This window comes from Homo sapiens, chromosome 10, assembly GCF_000001405.40.
Source record: "Homo sapiens chromosome 10, GRCh38.p14 Primary Assembly".
NCBI lineage: Eukaryota > Metazoa > Chordata > Mammalia > Primates > Hominidae > Homo > Homo sapiens.
In genome coordinates this window covers 38,621,731-38,643,247 of record NC_000010.11, presented here as the reverse complement: position 1 = coordinate 38,643,247, position 21,517 = coordinate 38,621,731, and the positions used below count along the sequence as shown (strand labels likewise).

The following is a 21,517-nucleotide window of genomic DNA, read 5'->3' as shown; positions in this document are numbered from 1 at the left end:
GTGCTTAGCACTCTCTCTGGCATATGGTGGTGCTCAGTTAACAAACAATGTTGTTATTTTATCTTACCTTCAAGTAATATAAATAATAACTTTTTATTTTTAATGTCTACTGTAGGGAATAATAAATCTACAAAAGGAGTATCTGTTCTCTCTCCTTCCAACAATACTCTTGCAATTTTATTTCATTATTTCATAATTTTCATAAAGCAGGGAAAAAAGAAAAGCAGGTATGAGGAAAGAGACCACTCACTCTAGTCCTGCAGTATTATTCTGCTTCTGCCTATTCCTGTCTGCTGGCTCCAGGCTGGCTTCTACACAAAGAATATCAAGCCGGTCCCAGGAACTGGCAAGACATAAAAAATTAATTATTTATACAAGTAGAGTCACAACAACAATAATAGATAACAATAATGTCACAAGTAAATACGATCAACAAATATTTAAATTTCAATTTTAAATTATTTTCACCTTTATCCTCTTCCGCCATTCTCTGCTGCTAAAATAAAATTGGCTAAGGTTCAGCTTTCTCTTGTTCTTTAGTTTCGAGTTACTGATAAAAGTTAGACTGGAAAAATAGAAGCTATTAGGAGAGTAAATAAATAATTTAGTTTACAAATGTGAGATCAGCTTGGCAATTGGATGTTTTTAAAGAAAGAGTATTAAATCTCAGTCACTAGGAGGAAATCATTTATCATCTAATAAAAGTCCTCACATAATAAGGTTGTCATAAGGATTAAATGAATTGATAAATGGAAAGCTTTAAGAATGATACCTGACATATGATGAATGCCATAAAACTATAAAAATATTATTTCTAGTTTCACCATTATCGTCATCATCTCTTAAAAGTCAGTGGGTTTGGTTTTTGTTTTTGTTTTTTCTGTTGGCAGTTCTTTTATGTTCAAATCCTCTTCTAAACTGTGAGATTCTTTCAAGGTGGTTTCCTGCATGATTTTTTTTTCTCCCTAGCATCCTCCAGCACAATGGATCATGTTCAGTACATTAAAAGTTATGATATAAAAATAATACCATTTTAAATTATTGATTTAGGATGTAGAAATTGATCTTAAATTGAGGGGTTCTTTTGCCATAATGTTCCATATCAGAGGTAATGTTTCTACCATTATGTTGTTACTTTGCAACTCCATAGAAAATATGTTATATATTGGTATTTAATTCCCCCAAATTTTAAGGCAATTTCATGCCTTGTTATTAAACACAAGGAAAGAGACTTACAAGAAATTTGCTTTATGTTATTAAAAATAATGTGGTAGAAGGTAACTAGGGAAAAATCTTGTGACCCAGTAGTCATTCTAAAACAAAAACTTCAAGGAACTCATTCTCTGACCTGGCAGGGGATGAGGAGTGAAGGAGAAAGAAACTTACTACTATCTGAATACCTAATCTGTGCCAGGTATTCTTCACATTCTCATATTTAATTTTCACAACCGTCCAGTAAGATAAGTATTTTGTTCTTCGTTTTACACGTAAGTAAGTAGAAGTTTAGAGAGTGTGAGTCATTTGTACAAGGTCACTAGCCTGGTTGCAGCAAAAATAGAATTCAAACCCAGTTTGCTAGATTCCAAGCCTGCTGTCAGTTCTGCTATAACCCAGTGCCCCCTGAATAAGGAGAACAATGAGAAGAAGGGCAACAAATCCTAGAGAACCATAAGAAAACTTAATATTTTATTTTGTCTTCTTGTAGTCAAAAACTACTGGTACACGATAAAGGCAACTAAGCAAAACTGGTTTCGTTAGAACTCCTGGTGTTATGAGGGCAACACTCAAAAGAGATATTTGAATAGAGGAACACTGAGAGGACAAGAGTGCAAAATCAGCCCAAAAATGTTTGCATGTTGATTTGTCACTATTGTACTCTTCCTCCACATATATTTGCTAGGAAGAACATGGAACTGATGAGTAACTTATGATAATTACTGAGTACTTTTTTTTTCTAATAGTCTAGTACTAGATCTTGTTTATTTTAACAGAGCCATTTACATTATATATTAACTCAGTTTAATATTTTTCTTTATCCCCCATTTTTACCCCTAAATGTAGGCTGTGTTAGGTCCTCTGGCTCTAGAAACAGCAAGAGTCTCTGCACCCCACTTGGAACCATATGCGAAGGATGTGATGTCAGTAGCATTTTTAGCCATCTCGATCACAGCTCCAAATGGAGCTCTACTTATGGGCATTCTGGGGCCTAAAATGCTTACACGCCATTATGATCCAAGCAAAATAAAACTGCAATTGTCAACATTAGAACATCATTAAAAAGTTTACCTGTCATCATCTGCCTGCTTCTTTTAATGAATTATTTCACATGACAGAAGAATTTTAAAGTAGAAATATGTAGGGACTGTACAGAAAATCCAGGATTTAGTAAACATGTGATTTCAGTACAGGGCTTTTCTTGGACTTTTTACTCCAAAGTTAATTTAATAAAAATAATATTAAATGGAATGCTCTCTTGGTATTTACATACTGTAAGAACAAATTAAATCTGTAAATACCTTAGGAAAGTTTAAGTAATCCCTCAGGCTGAATTTGATATCATAATACAAACTGAGCTTAATATAAAATTAAACAAACTTAATGGCAGAAAGAAAAACTTTGAATATTGAACTTGGTAAGATAGCCTAAGTTTCCAAATAGGAGGAGTAGAACTCCCCATGATGTCCAGTAATTCAGTTAAAAAGATCACTACCAAAAAAAGGAGTAAAACACATCAACTTTAAATGGGTTAACTGAATAGATTTTAAATTCTGGTTTTGGTGACTACCTGAATAAATAATATGTTAAGTAATAGAACCAAGTTAGTCTTTCCTTATTTCTGCCATGCCCTTAAAATGAAAGTCTGGTTTAGCAGTTTTTAGATGAAACACTATCTATATATTTATTTATAGAAATAAAATTAAATCACAAATGGAAGTAAACTATATTTTTTTCAATTAGTGTTTTAAAATCTAGGCATAAAAGGCAGCCTCCAAAAATGAAAGATTTGGAGACTACTGTCATGTGGCAGTTTCTTCTCCTTAGTAATACAGAATTACCTTTTAATTCTGGCTGATTAAATCTGCCATGTTAATGTAGAACCCATCATAAGCAAAGTGAGTTTTAATTAACTTCAAGACTCTTTATTTTAAAGTTATAAGAGTCATATAAACACTTCTAAAATGGCCTTATTGAAAGGCATTTTAGAAATTGTTTGGACTTCTTTGGGAAAAGCTCAATGCAAGGACTGAATATTACTTTCATTCCTCTTTTTCCTCTTCTCCACAAGCAAGATATTAAAATACCACAGAATATGAAATTTACACATAAATTTGCCAAGTGAAGCAATTAAAATTTAAGGCAATCAAAACTATGTGTTATTCCTATTAAGACTAAGGGCTTTTATAGAATATATCACCGAAACTGCCAAAAGTTCTAAAACCGTCTGGGAAATAACTCTTAGAAAATACACTCTGGGAGAATAACTCTGGGAAAAGATAAAATAGCTACTGTTTTAGTGACATTTTCTCTTTATAGTTTTACAACAAAGTACAGACTCCATTTTCAAATATTGTAATTCTAGTACTCAAATTCTAAAAATTTAAACTGTGCCAGTGTTTTGACTACTATTTAAATCATGAGGACATCTCATTGTCACTTATAAAAAAATAAAAATATGGGCAGGCTGTTGTGGCTCATGCCTGTAATCCCAGCACTTTGGGAGGCCAATGCGGGCAGATCACGAGGTCAGGAGTTCGAGACCAACCTGACCAACATAGTGAAACCCCGTCTCTACTAAAAATACAAAAATTTGTCAGGTGTGGTAGCACGCACCTGTAATCCCAGCTACTTAGAAGGCTGAGGCAGGAGAATCGCTTGAACCCAGGAGGCAGAGGTTGCAGTGAGCTGAGATCGCACCACTGCACTCCAGCCTGGGAGACAGAGCAAGACTCTGTCTCAAAAAAAAATAATAATAAAATATATGTATATATATATATATTTACAAGATAGTATTTTACATTCACAAGAGGATTAGATTTCAAAGTAGAAAGTTTATTTTAATAAAAGAGAGATAAGAAATAATTTTCAAAATGAGGAATTGTGCTTTTGATTAGGAGGAAAATTGTTGTACCTATTCTTTTTATTCTTTATTTATTGAACTTTCTCTAAGTGTATGTGATATACGTTTATTATACTGAAATAGTCGCCATTTTAAGGTAGTGTGGCAGATGTTGTTATTTATTTGAAATTTTAAGTTTATTTATAAAATGTTTTCATAAAAATTTATTAATATAATTTAAAAATTACAACCAGTTAACCATGTGTATGATATTAGTGTTTATAGTATTTAAACAAATAAGGCTGGGCACAGTGGCTCACACCATCCCAGCACTTTGGGAGGATAAGGCGGGTGGATCAGGAGGTCAGGAGAAGGAGAGCATCCTGGCTAACATGGTGAAACCCTGTCTTTACTAAAAATACAAAAAACTAGCCAGGCATGGTGGCAGGTGCCTGTAGTCCCGGCTACTCAGGAGGCTGAGGCAGGAGAATCACTTGAACCTGGGAGGCAGAGGTTGCAGTGAGCCAAGATCACGCCACTGCACTCCAGCCTGGGTGACAGAGCGAGACTCCATCTCAAAAAATTAAATAAAATAAAATAAAATAAAATAACAAACAAATACAAGATTGTTGTTTCTTATAAACTTTTTTTTGTATCTTTGCCTATTTTTTTTCACTGTTTAAGGAATTTTTATTAAAGCAAAATTTTATAATCCAAATTACCTTTCCTTGCTCAGTTATCAATTCTGTTACTTAAAACAGAAGTGACATTCTTAGCTATTCCACACTAATGAATTACAAAATTAAAGGAATGTTTTAAATTTTTATACTTTTCTGAAAATTATTTATCACAGAGTCTGAAAAGCATTACAGTGTTTTTATATTTTATTATTTTGGGAGGAATTTTTCTTTTCAAATCAATAAGTAATCTAAGACTATCATTGCATTTGTTAGATCTGACATTTGCTTGGTATGTAAAGTTCAAAGTTTCCTTTTTAAATTTATTTTATACTTTACAATTTTTTTCCATAATATTTAAGGTTTTCGATATTGAGATATTTTTCTTCAGTGATGCTCAAGTTTCTTTCTGTGGTCCCTGATCAGTTTTAAACAATTGGAACACCAGTGGCACCATTAACTGCTTTCTGGGCAGCCTCTTTAGCTTGGTGCTCTTGTAGTACAGCTATACCTTTGTCAACCTTAGTATAGAGAGGATCTGGAGATTCAAGCATATGAAGGAGTTCTAAATTACCAATCTCCACCAACATGCCAATGATTTTACCAGCACGACTAGGGCGTGGCTTGAAGAAGAGGAAACAGCCATTCACTCGTTTCCTTTTGCTTTTGAGGAGGAGAAGATGCCATCATGGAAGTCAAAGGTTCTTGACCTTCTACATGAACAGCAGGCTGCTGCATGGTAACCTGGGGCTGTGCATGAAAATATCATTGAGGATTGTGAGCTTCCATAGCATATTTATACTGTGAAATGGTACAAACAGCAGGAGTATCTGTAGTAGCAGTAGCGGCAACTGCAGGATGTGCTCCTATTGTCTGTGTCGATGTGTTACAACAGCTGTGTTGACATGACTCGTGGAAGCTGTGAAGAAGCTGGTCTCTTACTACTAAATGTAGTGAGCTAGGAGTGGCTTGGGCATATTTTTCAATGGATGAGGTCTGGCACCCTGAGCAATTTAGGGAGGATTTGAACTTAGTTGAGCAGTTTGGCTAGGAGAATACTTTGCAGCATGGCTCTCAGTCTGTGGGATAACTGCCATGAAGTCAATTGAAGAAGGTGCTGGCTGATAGGGACTGATTCCCAGGTTGAGCATAGTTTTTACACTTGCCATTCTTTGCACATAGTGTACTGGTTAATGAGCTGAGCCTGGTGCTCTTCATTGCTTTTCTTCCCATGGAGTTAACACTATATACAATGGCTCAGTGCCCACAATTCTACCATTCATTTCTGAAAGTGTTTTAGTTGCTTCCTCTGGAGAGGAGAAACATACACAAATCAAACCCTTTGTTGTGACAACCATCCTTCATAACCTTTGCATTGGTGATTGTACCAAGTGGAGAAAGTTCTTTCCAGAGACATTCATCAATACTATCAAGATTTTTTGCATAAATGTTAACACTTTGTTATCTGGTGATCCTATACTGCTTGATCTTTTCAAATTTGCACACAAGTTCCATCTGCAATTCTCCTTCTTTCTGAGCTTGACCAACATCAATTTGTTTTCCATTGAGCTTCTTTCTGTTCATCTCATCTGCGCATCTTTATGCCTTTCAAAGCTGACAAATCCAAAACCTTTGGGTTTTCCACTTTCATTAACCACTACTATCACACTTAAGACAGATCCCAACTTGCCAAAGAGATCTTTAAGGCACCTACCATCCATGTCTTCTCCAAAAATCTTCCTGTAAACATTGGTGAACTTTTTAACTCTGAGTTCTGCTTCTCATTGTTTACAAGACTTAATCCAACAAAGACTTTGCTATCATTTAGAAGCATCCATTTCATTTTTGAATAGATCTTTCAGCTGCTTCTGTGTCTCAAAATGTACAGTGCCATCACCCTTGAAACCGTTTTCACCACAAAGCACCTAATGTGAAAGTGATGAAGACAGGAGGCAGCCAAGGGTCCCCTGGTAAAACCTTACCTTCAAGACAAAAACAGCCTGAAGGCTGATAAACTGGACTGCAGGTCCTGGTTGAAGCCGCCCTTTCCTCACTGATTCTGAATAATGCCCACCTGCGCACTGGGATTACGGGGTGGAGCCTCGGGAAGTTTGTGCAGTGTGCAGTGGAGAGGAGTCTGGCCTTTTCCCATGTAGTGACCTAGGATTTAATCTATGAGGCGGGAAACCCGCTAGCAGGACTCTTTCTCTCTTTGCTAAGAGTTATTTTTCCTTTTTCCTTTCCACCCAATAAACTCCGTTCCCCCTCACCCTTCAAGTGTTTGCGTGCCTTTTCCTGGTAGTATGACAAGAACCTGGTTTTTTCTGCAACAAAAAGATGTTACCAAAAGCAGATGTATCATGCAATGCTTTATAATCAATAGATTTGTCCAATTTTTTTATGAACATGTTGCCCACTCCATTTTTGCGGAGTGATGGATCACACCGAGACTACTTAGTGTGTATTAGCTAGTCTTTTATAATATCAAAATTCATGGGGTCTTAAGGACATTCCACATCCTGCGTTTCCCAAGGAGCGCCGGTGATCTGGTTCCTGTAGCCCGTGATAGAGAGGACCAGCCAGCAGGCCTGGTCACGTGCGGTGCGAGGACAGGGGATGGCTGGGATGCTGGGCTCACCTCTGCACCTGTCTGCCGGTAGGGCCACCGGCTGCGACCTTTCCGTGAAAGGAGAGTAAGGGCTGGGGCGGAAGCCTGGGCCAGCGCAGAGAGACAAAATCACCTGGAATCTAAAACTACTCCATTCCCGAGGAACTGCGGCCTGCAGCGGGCTGGGACGAGGGTGGCGGTGTAGGGTCCAGCGTCCAGGCCTCGGGATCCTGTTCCTTCTTGAAGCTGCTTCGGAGCTGCGAGTGGGCGGGTGGGTCGCTCTCGGCTGCCTCACGGGCGATCTTATACAAGAAGAAAAGGAAAATGTCTCTGGCAGTGAAGACAAGGATTTTTTTGTAAAGTGTTTTGCAGGGGTGACGGGTGTTAAAACAGAAACCTTTTTTTTTTAAGTTTTTTTCATGGGATTTTTTTTGGGGGAATGGATTTTTCAAGATAATAAATATGTGCTGATCCTGGAGAACACACTCCACACTCTCGGCACTAACCGCTTGGGAGAAGGGACCCATTAATGTTTAATTGTACCTTCTCTTGTGGCCCCGTTTTTTCCCTTTTAATTATGAAACATTGGAGCCTACAGAAAGGTAGAAAAAATGGGCACCCACATAACCACCACCTAAATCCAATTAATTGTTAATATTTTGTCAAGTTTTCTTTATGTAATTTTTCGATTTGAATTAAAAGTAAATTATAGGCATCATGCTAATTTGCCTGTGTATACTTAAGCCTGCATATTCAAAAACTAAAGCCATTTTCTTACATAACCACAATTCCCTTATCCTTTCACACCAAGTTATCAGTAATTCCTTACAATTATTCAACTCCCAAATATTTTCAAATATAAACAGTCATGCCCCATGTAACACATTTCAGTCAACTAGTCGACCATCTACACTGTGGTGGTCTCATAAGATTAAACTGGAACATATATAGAAACTTGATAAACAGTATATGGCCCTTGATATTGGCATTGCAGCTCAAGTAGAGGAAATGACTGATGCTCAGTAGTGGTGCTGGAACATTTGATTTTCCTTATAAAAAATAAATAAGTGAAAATATATAGGGCCGGATGTAGTGGTTCATGCCTGTAATCCCAGCGCTTTGGGAGGCCAAGGTGGGCAGATCATCTGAGGTCAGGAGTCTGAGACCAGCCTGGCCAACATGGTGAAACCCCATCTCTACTGAAAATATAATTAGCCGTGTGCAGTGGCAGGTGCCTGTAATCCCAGCTACTCAGGAGGCTGAGGCACGAGAATTGCTTGAACCTGGGAGGCTGAGGTTGCAGTGAGCTGAGATCGCACCAGCACTCCAGCCTGGGTGACACAGTGAGACTCTGTCTCAAAAATATACGTATATATACCATCTAGGTTTGCATAATTACACCCTATGATTCACATTTTCTTAATTGTTTCCCAATTATAGCAATTTTTAAAAGCCAGGATCCAATCGAGAACTGGACACTACATTTTGTTTTTGTCTCTTATTTTGTAATCCAGTACATTTCTCCATACTTAATCCCTTGCTAAATGGCATAGACTTTTTTTTTTTTTTTTTTTGAGACGGAGTCTTGCTTTGTCACCGGGCTAGAGTGCAGTGGCGTGATCTTGGCTCACTGCAACCTCTGCCTCCTGGGTTCAAGAGATACTCTTGCCTCACCCTCCTTAGTAGCTGGGATTACAGGCGCCTGCCACCACGGCCAGATAATTTTTTGTATTTTTACTAGAGACAGGGTTTCACCACGTTAGCCAGGATGGTCTTGATCTCCTGACCTCATGATCCACCCTCCTCAGCCTCCCAAAGTGCTGGGATTACAGGTGCGAGCCACCGTGCCCAGCCGGTATTGACATTTTAAAGGAACCATGCTAGTTGTCACGTAGAATATCTCACATTCTGGAATTGTGGGACTGTTCATGGTTTCATTTAGTTTGTTTGTCTATCCCCTCAATTTTCTGAAATTTGAAGTTAAATTTAAAGACTTGGTTACATTCAGGTTAAACTTTTTTGGCCAGAATCATTCAAAGGTGATGTTGTATACTTCCAATAGTGGCACATTACGAAGTTTATGTCTGGTTGTCCCACTGCCAGTGATGTTAATTTTCATTCCTAAATTAAGTAGGTGATTGCCAGATGTCTATATCGTAATGGTATATTTTCCTCTGTAATTAGCCAGTGATCTCTGAGATTATACCTTGGTACTACATGAATATTTATTCTTCATCAAATTTCTCAAAATTAGTAGACTTTGTTTTTTAGAGCAATTTTAGGTTTACAGAAACCAATGAGCAGAAAGTACACAGAATTCCCATGTAACACTACCTTCCTATCCCACTCTCCACCCAATCCCTACCTCTGTACACAATTTCCCCTATTATTAACACCATGTATTAATGTGGTATATTGGTTACAATTGATACATATTGATACATTACTATAACTGAAGTCCATAGTTTACATTAGCGTTCACACTTTGTGTTGTAAAGTTCTGTGAATTTTGACAACTGTATAATGACAGATATCCACCAGTATCATATAGAATAGTTTCATCACCATAAAAATCCTCTGTGTTCCACCTATGTATCCCTCTCTTACTTTCTGCAAATTGCTGAAAACCACTGATGTTTCTACATGATAGTATTGCCTTTTCCAGATTGTCATACACTTAGAACCATACAATATATAGCCTTCTCATGCTGGCTTCTTTTACTTAGCAATATACATTTAAGTCTTCTCCATGTCTTTTCTTAGCTTAATATCTGATTTCTTTTTAGTGCTGTATAATATTCCCTTGTCTGGATGTACCACAGTTTGCATAGCCATTAACCTACTGAAGGATATCTTGGTTGCTTCCAAGTTTTGGCAGTTATGAATACAACTGTTATAAACAGCCGTGCACAGGTTTTTAAGGTTTTAACAAACTCTCCCTGGCAGTTTCTGTTTTTCCTCACTTTTCAAGCCCACGGACTATCTCCCAGTGCTGTTCGTTTTAATATTCTGCAGAGTACTTAAGCATTACAGAATATAGAAGCTGGAAGATACTTGGCAGTCTTTTAGTCCCTCATGTTCTAGATGAGAAAACTGAAGCCCAGATACCTTATTATTTGTGCAGTCCCCCAATCTGAGTGTCAAATCCACCTCTCCCAGATGTTTTCTGTTCAAATAACCCTGTGAACTTCAGTGACCCTCAGTGACCACATCATCATTATTCACCAATAGTTCTCCAACAGATCCGCTCTACATTAGCTCATTTCAAATGTTCTTTTCCTTTCACGCACATACCATACAGTACTTAAAATTTTGTTGACAACAATCAATATGAATTCAAACTAATTTCTTGCCCCAAGGATGTGACTTCTACTACACAGTTCCTTTTGGCCTGAGGGCAATTCCTAGGGCATGAACTTAGTCGTGTGCCCTCAACAGACAGCACTCTAAGGAAGCTGGGGAATGAGGGTCTCCATTCTGCAGGGAGGCCTGGACTACACAGCACAGAATACACTACTCTGTCCATCCCTCGTGTCATTTGGATCCATGACTTCATATAACCTCTCTTCATCTAGGATTAGCTCCTCCAGGATTTTGGTTGGTTTTTTTTGCGGGGAAACGTGAAAGTAACATTCATGGAGGGAACAATAGCTCCTTGGCTCTTCAACTGGTCTTTTATCAGTGATAAAAGTGATCATCTGCCTTTCCTACGATACAGGTACTATCAGGTTTACATTCTCACCCTCAGCTAGCACCTCCACTGGTCTAGGTCACTTACCTGGAGATAGGAGAGGAGGGTGTAGTAGCCATGGCTACTAGACTTGTCCTTTTAAATTGAGCAATCAAAATTTAGTAAGGGACTACTTAAACATCCCTTGGCTGCCAAACACATTCCTGTCTACTTCCGTTGTGTAACAGCATTGAATTGCAGAGATAAGAAGCAGAAATTTCCTAAGTGAATCCCTGGCGGTGACGGTAAATAGTGCTACTCTTTCTTCAATCCATGGTCCTCTTTCTATTAGCAACATGGGACCACATAATGGTTACTGATCTAGGATATATGCTTGTATCCCATCCCTGCAGCTTCAAAGGGCTACTGGAGGCTGTTCCATCACTCCATCAGTTTGACAGCTTCTAGCTGTTGTGATTTCGTGATTTGTAGTAGGATCACTGAATTGCATTTTCGTGTGTCCATCACTGCAACTACAGTGCTACAAAGTACATTCCCTTTATACAGTGCTATAAAGTACAATGCAAGGATGTGTAGGATTCCATATTGGAGGATTAAACATTCTGTCAACCCTTGGATAGTGGTGCTGGTTGAGGCCATGTAAGTAGGAAAGATAAATCCATACTCAGAATAAGTATCAGTTCCAGCCAAGAAGAATCATTACCCTTCCTGTGATGGAAAGAATCCAGTGCATTCAGCTTGCCACCAGGTGGCAACTTGGTGTCCTTGAGCGATGATGCTATCTTGAGGCCTCAGTGTTGCTCTGTCTTGATGACAACTTTGACATTCGGAAGCAGCAGTAGCTAGATAAGACTTAGTCAGTGGAGACTTCTGCTGTTTGGGCCTCTGCATAGCCTCCATCCTTGTCACTATATTTATTCACCAGTACTGAGCTGGCCAATGGAAGAGGTTGGCTAACATCATCTGGCTGAGTCACTTTTCTCCTTGGTTGTTGATAGATACCTCTTGTAGGTGTTAACATGTGAAACAAAGATCTTCATACTTTTTGTACATCCCCATAAGTCCACCCATATGTCCTTTTCTCAGATGTCTTTTTCTCCAGTCTTCCAAATTTTCTCCTTCCATCCCCCTGAACTGTAGCCAAGCCATTTGACCATGAGTCAGTACATTCTTACTATGAGTCTCTTCTCTTTCCATGCAAAGTGAATGACAAGGTGCATAGTGCAAAGTTCTGCCAACTGAAATTTTTTTTTTAATTTTTTTATTTTTTGAGACAGAGTCTTGCTCTGTCACCAGGTTGGAGTACAGTGGCGTGATCTCAGCTCACTATAAGCTCTGCCTCCTGGGTTCACACCATTCTCCTGCCTCAGCCTCCCGAGTAGCTGACACTACAGGTGTCCGCCACCACACCCAGCTAATTTTTTTTGTATTTTTTTAGTAGAGATGGGGTTTCACCATGTTAGCCAGAATGGTCTCGATCTCCTGACCTCATGATCCACTGCCTTGGCCTCCCAAAGTGCTGAGATTACAGGTGTGAGCCACTGTGCCTGGCCAAGAATTTATTTTTGAGTTGAATTTTTAAATATTAAAACTTTTTAAATATACAAACAAAAACTGTATATATTTGGAGTGTACAACCTGATGTTTTGAAATATGGATACATTGTGAAATGGCTAACTCAAGCTAATTAATACATGTGTTACCTCACATACTTATCATTTCTTTTGTGGTGAGAACACTTAAAATCTACTGTCCTAGCAATTTTCAAGTATGCAATACATTGTTATTAACTGTAGTCACCATGTTGTACAATAGGTCTCTTGAACTTGTTCTTCCTGCTTATCTTAATTTTTGTATCCTTTGACCGACATCTCCCCAGTTCTACCCTCCTCCCCCCGCCCCTAATAACCATTATTCTATTTTCTGCTTCTATGTGTTTGACTTTTTTAGTTTCCACATATAAGTGAGATTACATGGCATTTATCTCTCTGTGCCTGGCTTATTTCACTTAATATAATGTCCTCCAGTTTCATCCATGTTATTATAAAGGACATGATTTCCTTCTTTAAGGCTGAACAATATTTCATTATGTATATATACACCACATTTTCTTTAATCATTCATCTGTTTAAGGATACTTAGGTTTTTTTCATATCTTGTCTATTGTGAATAATGTTGCAATGAACATGAGGTACAGATTTTTCTTTGACATATTGAATCATTTTCTTTGGGTATATAAATAGTACTAGGATTGCTGGATCATATGGTAATTTTATTTTTAACTTTCTGAGAAACCTCTATATTATTTTTCATAATGGCTGTACTAATTTACATTCCCGCCAACAGTATACAAAGGCTCCCTTTTCTCCACATCCTCACCAACACATGCTATCTTTTGTCTTTTTCATGGTAGCCATTCTAAAAGGGATGTCTCATTGTGGTTTTGATTTGCATTTCCCTGATGACTGGTGATATTGGTTATTTTTTCATATTCCTGTTGGCCATTTGTATGTCTTCTTTGGAAAAATGTTTATTCAGGTACTTTGCCTCCCTTTCATTAATCAGGATATATGTTTTCATGCTATTGAATTGTATGAATACTTTATATATTCTGGATATTAATCCTTTATCAGATGTATGGTTTGCAAATATTTTCTCCCTTTTTGTAGGCTATCTATTTACTCTATTGATTGCTCCCTTTGCTTGCACAGCTTATTAGTTTGATATAATCCCGTTTGTCTATTTTTGCTTTTGTTGCCTGTGCTTTGGGGGTCATATCCAGAAAATCATTGCCCAGACCAGTCTCATGGAGCTTTTCCTGTATATTTTCTACTAGTAGTTTTATGGTTTCAGGTTTTATATTTAAGTCTTTAGTCCATTTGTGGTTTTTTTTTTTGTATATGGAGTGAGATAAGGGTCTAATTTCATTTCTCTGCATGTGGAGTTCTCCCAACACCATTTATTGAAAAGATTGTCCTTTTCTCATTGTGTATTCTTGGCATATTTACTGAAAATCAATTGGCCATAAACGTGGATGTATTTTGAGGCTCTCTATTCTATTCCATTGGTCTACCAGTCTGTTTGTATGCCAGTATCATGTTATATTTTTGATTACTATATCATCATAGTATGTTTTGAACCTGGATAATATGATACCTTCTACTTTGTTCTTTTTGCTCACAATTTGCTATTTGGAGTTTTTTGTGGTTTCACATGAATTTGGGACTTTTTTCTGTTTACGTAAAAAATATCATTGGAATTTTGATAGAGATTACATTGAATCTGTAGATCACTTTGGGTACTAAGAACATTTTAACAGTATGAATTCTTCTAATCCATGAAGATGGGATATATTTCCATTTATTTGTGTCTTCTTCAATTTCTTTCACCAATGTTTTATAGTTTTCAGTGTACAGGTCTTTCACCTCCTTGGTTAAATTAATTCCTAAGTATTTGTGTAGCCATTATAAATGAAATTGTTTTCTTAATTTCTTTTTCAGATAGTTCATTGTTAGTGTATACAGATGCTACTCGTTTTTTTATGTTGATTTTGCATCCTGCAACTTTACTGAATTAATTTACTAGTTCCAACAGTTTTTTTTGGTGGACTCTTTAGGGTTTTCTACATTTAAGATCATGTTGTCTGCAGAGACAATTTCTCTTCTTCCTTTCTGACTTTAATGCCTTTATTTCTTCTTCTTGACTAATTGCTAGAACTTGAATAGAAGTGGTGAAAATGGGCATCCATCTTGTTTCTGATCTTAGAGAAAAAGCTTTCAACTTTTTACCATTGAGTATGATGTTAGCTGTGGGCCTATCATATATGCCTTTATTGTGTTATGTGGACATTGATACCTAATTTGTTGAAAGTTTTTATTACAGAAAGATGTTGAATTTTGTCAAATGCTTTCTCTGCATCCATGGAGATATTCATATAGTTGTTGTCCTTCATTCTGTTAATGTGTATATCATATTTATTGATTCGTATATGCTGAACTGTCAATGGGAGGATTTAATCTACTGTTATCTTTCCATAGCTGAAGTAGGCTGCTATCATTTTTTACTTACATCCACATCCTGAGTTGATCTTCCAATGAACAAGCTTAGCTTTTTTCCTCCTTTAGCAATATTGGAACTCCCACATAGGCAGAGTTGCCAGCTGAGGGAGAGAATCTAGTGTCACAATCTGGATAATGTGGGGACCTGGATCACCTGATCATACTGCTTACTTGTGACCTCTAGTCTTTCTCATGCCCAATCCTTGATGTGATATGGTTTGGCTCTGTGTCCCCACAAAATCTCATCTCAAATTATAATCCCCACATGTAGATAGAGGGACCTGGTGGGAGGTGACTGGATCATGGGGGCAGTTTCCCTCATGCTGTTCTCATGATATTGAGTGAGTTCTCATGAGAGCGGATGGTTTAAAAGTGTTTGGCACATCCCCCCTTGCTCTCTGTCTCTCCTGCTGCCTTGTGAAGAAGGTGCCTGCTTCACCTTTGCCTTTAGTCATAAGTGTAAGTTTCCTGAGACCTCTCCAGCCATAAGGAACTGTGAGTCAATAAACCTCTTTTGTTTATTAATTACCCAGTCTTGGGTAGTTCTTTATAGCAATGTGAAAATGGACTAATTCAATGTGCTACTTCTATTTTATTATGATTTGTTGCTGGGCCAGCCTGTCCTTATGATCTGGTAGATCTAACAAAACCAAACTCACTGTGGGAACTTTTAGCTACATGGTCACTTAATATTTGTTGTCAGATAGTCCATCTCTACCTAGGTGCAGTAGCATGCTAGGAGCTATTAAAGTACACAATTATGCTATATATTTACACAATATACAATTACTGGCAGATAGCATGACCATGCTAGTGAACCCCACAAGACTATGTGTGAATCGTCTATTAGGGTTTGCTATAAACTCTACATGGTGCTTTTTCCAACTACATATATTTCTAATACCATAGAGCCTACTAGATTGTATGGCTCAAACAGTAGGGCTGCTTGCCCTGGATCCTGGACCTGCTGCAGAGGCCTTTTCTGCCCTAAGCTTTTGTCAAAGGTGGAAGCCTTCTGTGTCACTCAGCAAATGTGTCAGAACAGTATTCCTTAGTATAGGGGGGGAAAAATGGGCCCTCTAAAATCTTCTGTGACTGATGTCACAGATCCTTAAATCTTCAGATGATTTTCTCTCTCAGGGATGCTTGTGTCTCTCTAGGCCATCCAGCATGTTATTTCTTACCCAGTCTATTTTAACTGGTAAATAAAATGGAAAAATGTAACATGCTACAGAATGTCCAGACAGCTCAGGTCTCTGGACTACATTAGGACAGAGAGTCAAAGAACTAATATACATCTTGGATAAGTCTCTAAATGCATGCTGTTGTCCTTCCCAAGAATGTGAATTGCTTCTGGTAAATTTCACTCTAAGTACTGCTTCAGTTATTTTACATATATATTGATTGGTAATCTTTTCATTTTAATTCAATTTTAAGCATGTTCTAATTTTTATTATAATTTCTTCTTGCTTCCATGAATCATTTGGAAGCTGTTTGTAGTTTCTAAAATTCATGGATTACTTTTGGATAAGATTTTGTTATTGATTTCTAATAGTGCTATGACACATTTGTTATACCAATGTAAACATTTGATACTACCTTTAGGCCTAATATCTGGTCAATTTTTGTAAATACTCCAAGTGTGCTTGAAAAGAATCGAAATTCTTTAACTGTTGATTAGCCTTACTAATTTTATGTTTATTTATTCAATTACTAAAAATGAAATGTTAAAATCTCTCACTGTGTAGATTTTTTTATTGCTATTTCCAATTCTAATTTTGGTTTTATTTATTTTGAGACTACATTATTAGGTATCCACAATTTTATAAAAATTAAGAAAAAATTAGAAAAGTTTAGAAAAAAATTAGAAAAATATAGAAAAAGATGTGAAAGAAGCACACATGGGCTTTATCTGGATGATCTCTTATCAGGTTTGTATCCTGGGGAAGGCCTTCACAGCAAGAGATGGACCAGAGGATTGAGACAAGGGGGCCACCATTCAGAAAGGGAGGAGGGCAAAGGAACTCCTGAGGGAGGAAAGGATCAGAGAGGAGGCTTTCATGTCTCAGTGATATCACTCAGCAGCATGGCATGGAGTCTGTAGTTCACAGAGTTCCAAAGAGCAGAAGCAGTTTGGAGTCTTTACAGCCTAGAGTTTATCTGTGGCAAGCAGATTTTGGATGTAGTTTCCCAGGGCATGTAAATCAGGCAGGCTCTAAATGCCTACAAATCTGCATGTCTGGGCTATGTTTAACACAATTGGATATTTAAAAATTTGAGTTTGGTGCCAGTTCGTTTTTGAGCTAATGGGTTTCAGCTTGCTGTGAAGAAATAACCTAGGTGCCAATACACAGAGACCATCCTTGTCTCATTTACATTATATGCAGTGACTCTATCCTTTTTTGCTCACAATTGTTTTATTCATTTCTTTTAGATTTGTTTACTTTACTGAGATTATTTGGTAGGTAAGATTTCAGTTTATTGTAGTTTGCTAATTCATTATTCAAAGTGTTCTAATAAAAATTTTGTTCCATCCTTAATCCCCATTTAAACAAAGCTGCTGTGGGTAAGGTCATCAATGGCCTTCGTGTCATCAAATCCATTTTGTAAACAAAATTTTAATGTTTAAAATTTTCTTATGTGTACACATGTTTAATTTATGTAATTTCAAAACGGGGTATCACACATGGAATTTGGTAGTTTTCTTTCCTTTTTTTATTCACTTACTCTGTTTCTTAATGCTTTACTGTAATCCACAACGCAATGTCCCCAATATTTATTATGTATAACTGATAATCACATAAAACATATTTTGTCATTAAGTGTTATCTTTTTCCACATAGGTGTTCCTGTCTTTAGTCTTCTATTTTCTCTCTCTCCCGCTTCTCTCCCACCCTTCCTCTCTCCATTTATGTAAGTATTTAAATCATTTTAAAAATCATTTTATGTATCACTTCAAAGCCTTCAGTGTAAATTGAGGGTCCAATTTTGTTTTCTTTGAATTGTTTATTTTCATATATTAATTTTTCATCTACTTGTAGATTCTCAATTTTTTACCACTCTTGCTTATTCTTAATTAATACAATTGTTTTTCTTAATTGATCAATTCCAATAGTTCTATAGTAGGTGCTGATATCTGGTGAGAAAAGTTCCTCTCAATAGTCTTTTTTTTTTTGGTACAATTTTCTGACTATTCTTCTACATGAACTTTAAGATAATTTAATCAAATTTTAAAATGTTTTTGTGATTCTAATGTGAATTTAATTGAATTTATATATAATTTTAGGAGATTTATGCTTTTACAAGAGTTTTGTTTGTTTTTTTGAGACAGGGTCTCACTGTGTCACCCAGGCAGGAGTGCAGTTGTGGGATCTCAGCTCACTGAAGCCCCAACCTCCCACCTCAGCCTCCCAAGTACCTGGTTCTATAAGCATGCGCCAAGCCCAACTAGTTTTTTGTTTTGTTTTGTTTTGTTTAGAGACAGGGTTTCACAATTTGCCAAAGCTGGTCTTGAACTTCTGGGCTCAAGCTGTCCTCCTGCCTCAGCCTCCCAAAGTGCTGGGATTACAGGTATGAGCCACTGCACCTAGCCTCATGTGTTTCTTATTCAACAGCTTTTGGTAACATTTTTATAGTTTTTTTCTTATAGATCGTCTTTCTTGGTAAATTTATTTTACCTTTATTATTTTTGTTATTGTGAATATTTTTACCATTAGCATTTCAAGGTGCTTATTGCTAATCTATTTTGTATTATGATCTTATTTCCAAATACCTTACCAATATTCCTCTTTAAAATATTTGAAAGTTCTGTTTTTCCTAATCTCTATGATTTCCTAGGCATATAATCATATCCACAAAAAGTTTTCTGTATATTTATACTGATTATTTCATTTAAAAATCTTGTTACATTCATGGATCCTCCAAGATAATCTTTAATAACAAATACTGACAGCAGCTATTCCTACTGGTTCCTTGTTTTAATTGAAATGTTCCTTTATGATTTAAAATACTTGTTTTGTAGGCATTTCATAAATAACGGTTATGTTTAGACACTTTCCTTCAATTTCTATTTTACTCGAGAATCTTCATTAGCAGTGGATGTTTAATCTTAACAATAGCCCTCTCAGCATCTACTGATATAATCACATTTTCCTCTTCTTTGATGTCAATTATGTAATTGTGTTAATATACTTAACTGATATTGAAATACCCGTGAATTCCTGAAATACAATGCTCTTTGCATACTGTATTACTCTTTTTTGTTGTTGCAATTATTGATAAAAGTGCTGGGTTTTTATTTAGAATATTCATTCATATGTATAAGTCAGATTGGTCTATAGTTTTGGCTTTTTTGTTTGTTTTTTGTTTTGAGATGGAGACTTGCTCTGTCACCCAGGCTGGAGTGCAGTGGCGTGATCTTGGCTCACTGCAACCTCTGCCTCCTGGGTTCAAGCTGGGATTACAGACATGCACCACCATGCCGGGCTAATTTTTGTATTTTTAGTAGAGACTGGTTTTCACCATATTGTCCAGGCTGGTCTTGAACTCCTGACCTTAAGTGATCCACCTGCCTTGGCTTCCCAAAGTGCTGGGATTACAGGTGTAAGCCATGGCACCTGGCCTATAGTTTTGTCTTATGTTTATCAGGTTTTCATATTAATGCTGCACTGCCTATGTGAAATGAATTGGTTTCTCTTTTTTAAAAATATTTGGGATACTTTAAATAACATTGGAATTATCCTTCTTGCAACCCTAGTACTTTTTTAAATTATGGATTTAAAAAATCACTGTACATTCTTTCTTTGTAACTGGTCTATTAACATTTTAAATTTCTTCTTGGATTAGTTTTGGTCATTTATATTTTTCCAGAAAATTACCCATTTTCTCTAGATTTTCCAATGTGTGGCCATATAGTTGCATGCAGCATTTCAAAGTGAATGTTTCTTTTTCATTTTATTTTATTTTTTTTTTTGAGATGGAGTCTTGCTCTGTGGCCCAGGCTGGAATGCAATGGCATGACCTTGGCACACTGCAACCTCTGCCTCCTGGATTCAAGTGATTCTTCCACCTCAGCCTCCCGAGTAGCTGGGATTACAGACATCCGCCATCATGCCCAGTTAATTTTTGTATTTTGGTAGAGACGAGTTTTCACAATGTTGACCAGGCTGGTCTTGAACTCCTGACCTTAAGCAATCTGTCCACTTTGGCCTCTCAAAGTGCTGGAATTAGTTACAGGTGTGAGCCACCGCACCTGGCCCTCAAAGAGAATCTTTCTACCTTCATCTTATTTTACTTCTTGGTAGCATTCTACAAAGTTGAAGATTGTACTTGTGAGTTTTGAGTTTCTTTATTTGATGAATGGATGTGATTAATTTATATCTTTAGTGTGATCATGCAGAGAAATGTATGAGGGATAGTGATGGAAAATTACAGGAAATCTGAAAATTTAATAAATTGTTGGCATTTTTATTTTCTCACTAGTACAAGGTTCATCTCAGTAATTATGAAATGTACTACCCTTTTCTCCTTTTCTATGTTATTTTGGAAAATTACAGCCTTATAATAGAGATCAGAAATGTGTTAACATTATGGCTGATCTATCTGACAACAGTGTTCTAAGAAAACAGTATCACAAATATACTTCCTCACCATAATTTTTCAAAACAGAAATTTTGTAAGCAAAGAATCAAGCGTTTAAACCAAAGGAAAGTTAGAGTGATGTCATCTCTGGTTGAAAAACACAGTCTTTCTGAATAGATTTTCAATGTCCTTGAAGACCATAACTAATATAAAATTACACAATACATTTGCTAATAATGTGAACTGTACACTTTTTATATGAAAATGATGCTTGCTACAACATGACTTTACTAAATTGGATTTCTGCAAAAGATAAAACACCAGGCATGGTTGCTCACACCTGCAATCCCAGCACTTTGGGAGTGCTGAGGCAGGGAGGATCACTTGAGTCCAGGACTTCGAGAGCAGCCTGGGTAACATAGTGAGACTCTGTCTCTTAGAAAAGTAAAAAATTAGCCAGGCATGATGAAGCATGACTGTAGTCTCAGCTACTTGGGAGGCTGAGGTGGGAGGATCGCTTGAGCACAAGAGGCTGAGGCTGCGGTGAGGTACGATCAAGCCCCCGCACTCCAGCCTGGGTGACAGGGCCAGACTTTGTCTCAAAATATATGAAAGTAGATAAAATTAGTTTACTTGCTGAACATAATCAAATATAGCAACTTTCCAGTAAAAGACTATTAGGACAAACTATGTTAACACAACCTCAGATGATGCAGCATAGTTAAAACAAAACAAAACAGCTTTGGGCATGTTCTATACTCCAACCTCTGTGGTGCAAAGGGACTATATGGCCAACTAGGTGTTGAGGCAGTCACAGAACTGCTGCACATGTGGTTTTTAAACAAG

At 37.1% G+C, this 21,517-nt stretch overlaps 2 pseudogenes; one reads left to right on the top strand and one right to left on the bottom strand.

The window, feature by feature from the left end:
• Positions 1 to 2,466, top strand: part of SLC9B1P3 (solute carrier family 9 member B1 pseudogene 3) — a 48,295-nt pseudogene extending 45,829 nt beyond the window's left edge.
• On the bottom strand, positions 4,966 to 6,676 carry PABPC1P12 (poly(A) binding protein cytoplasmic 1 pseudogene 12; annotated as a pseudogene).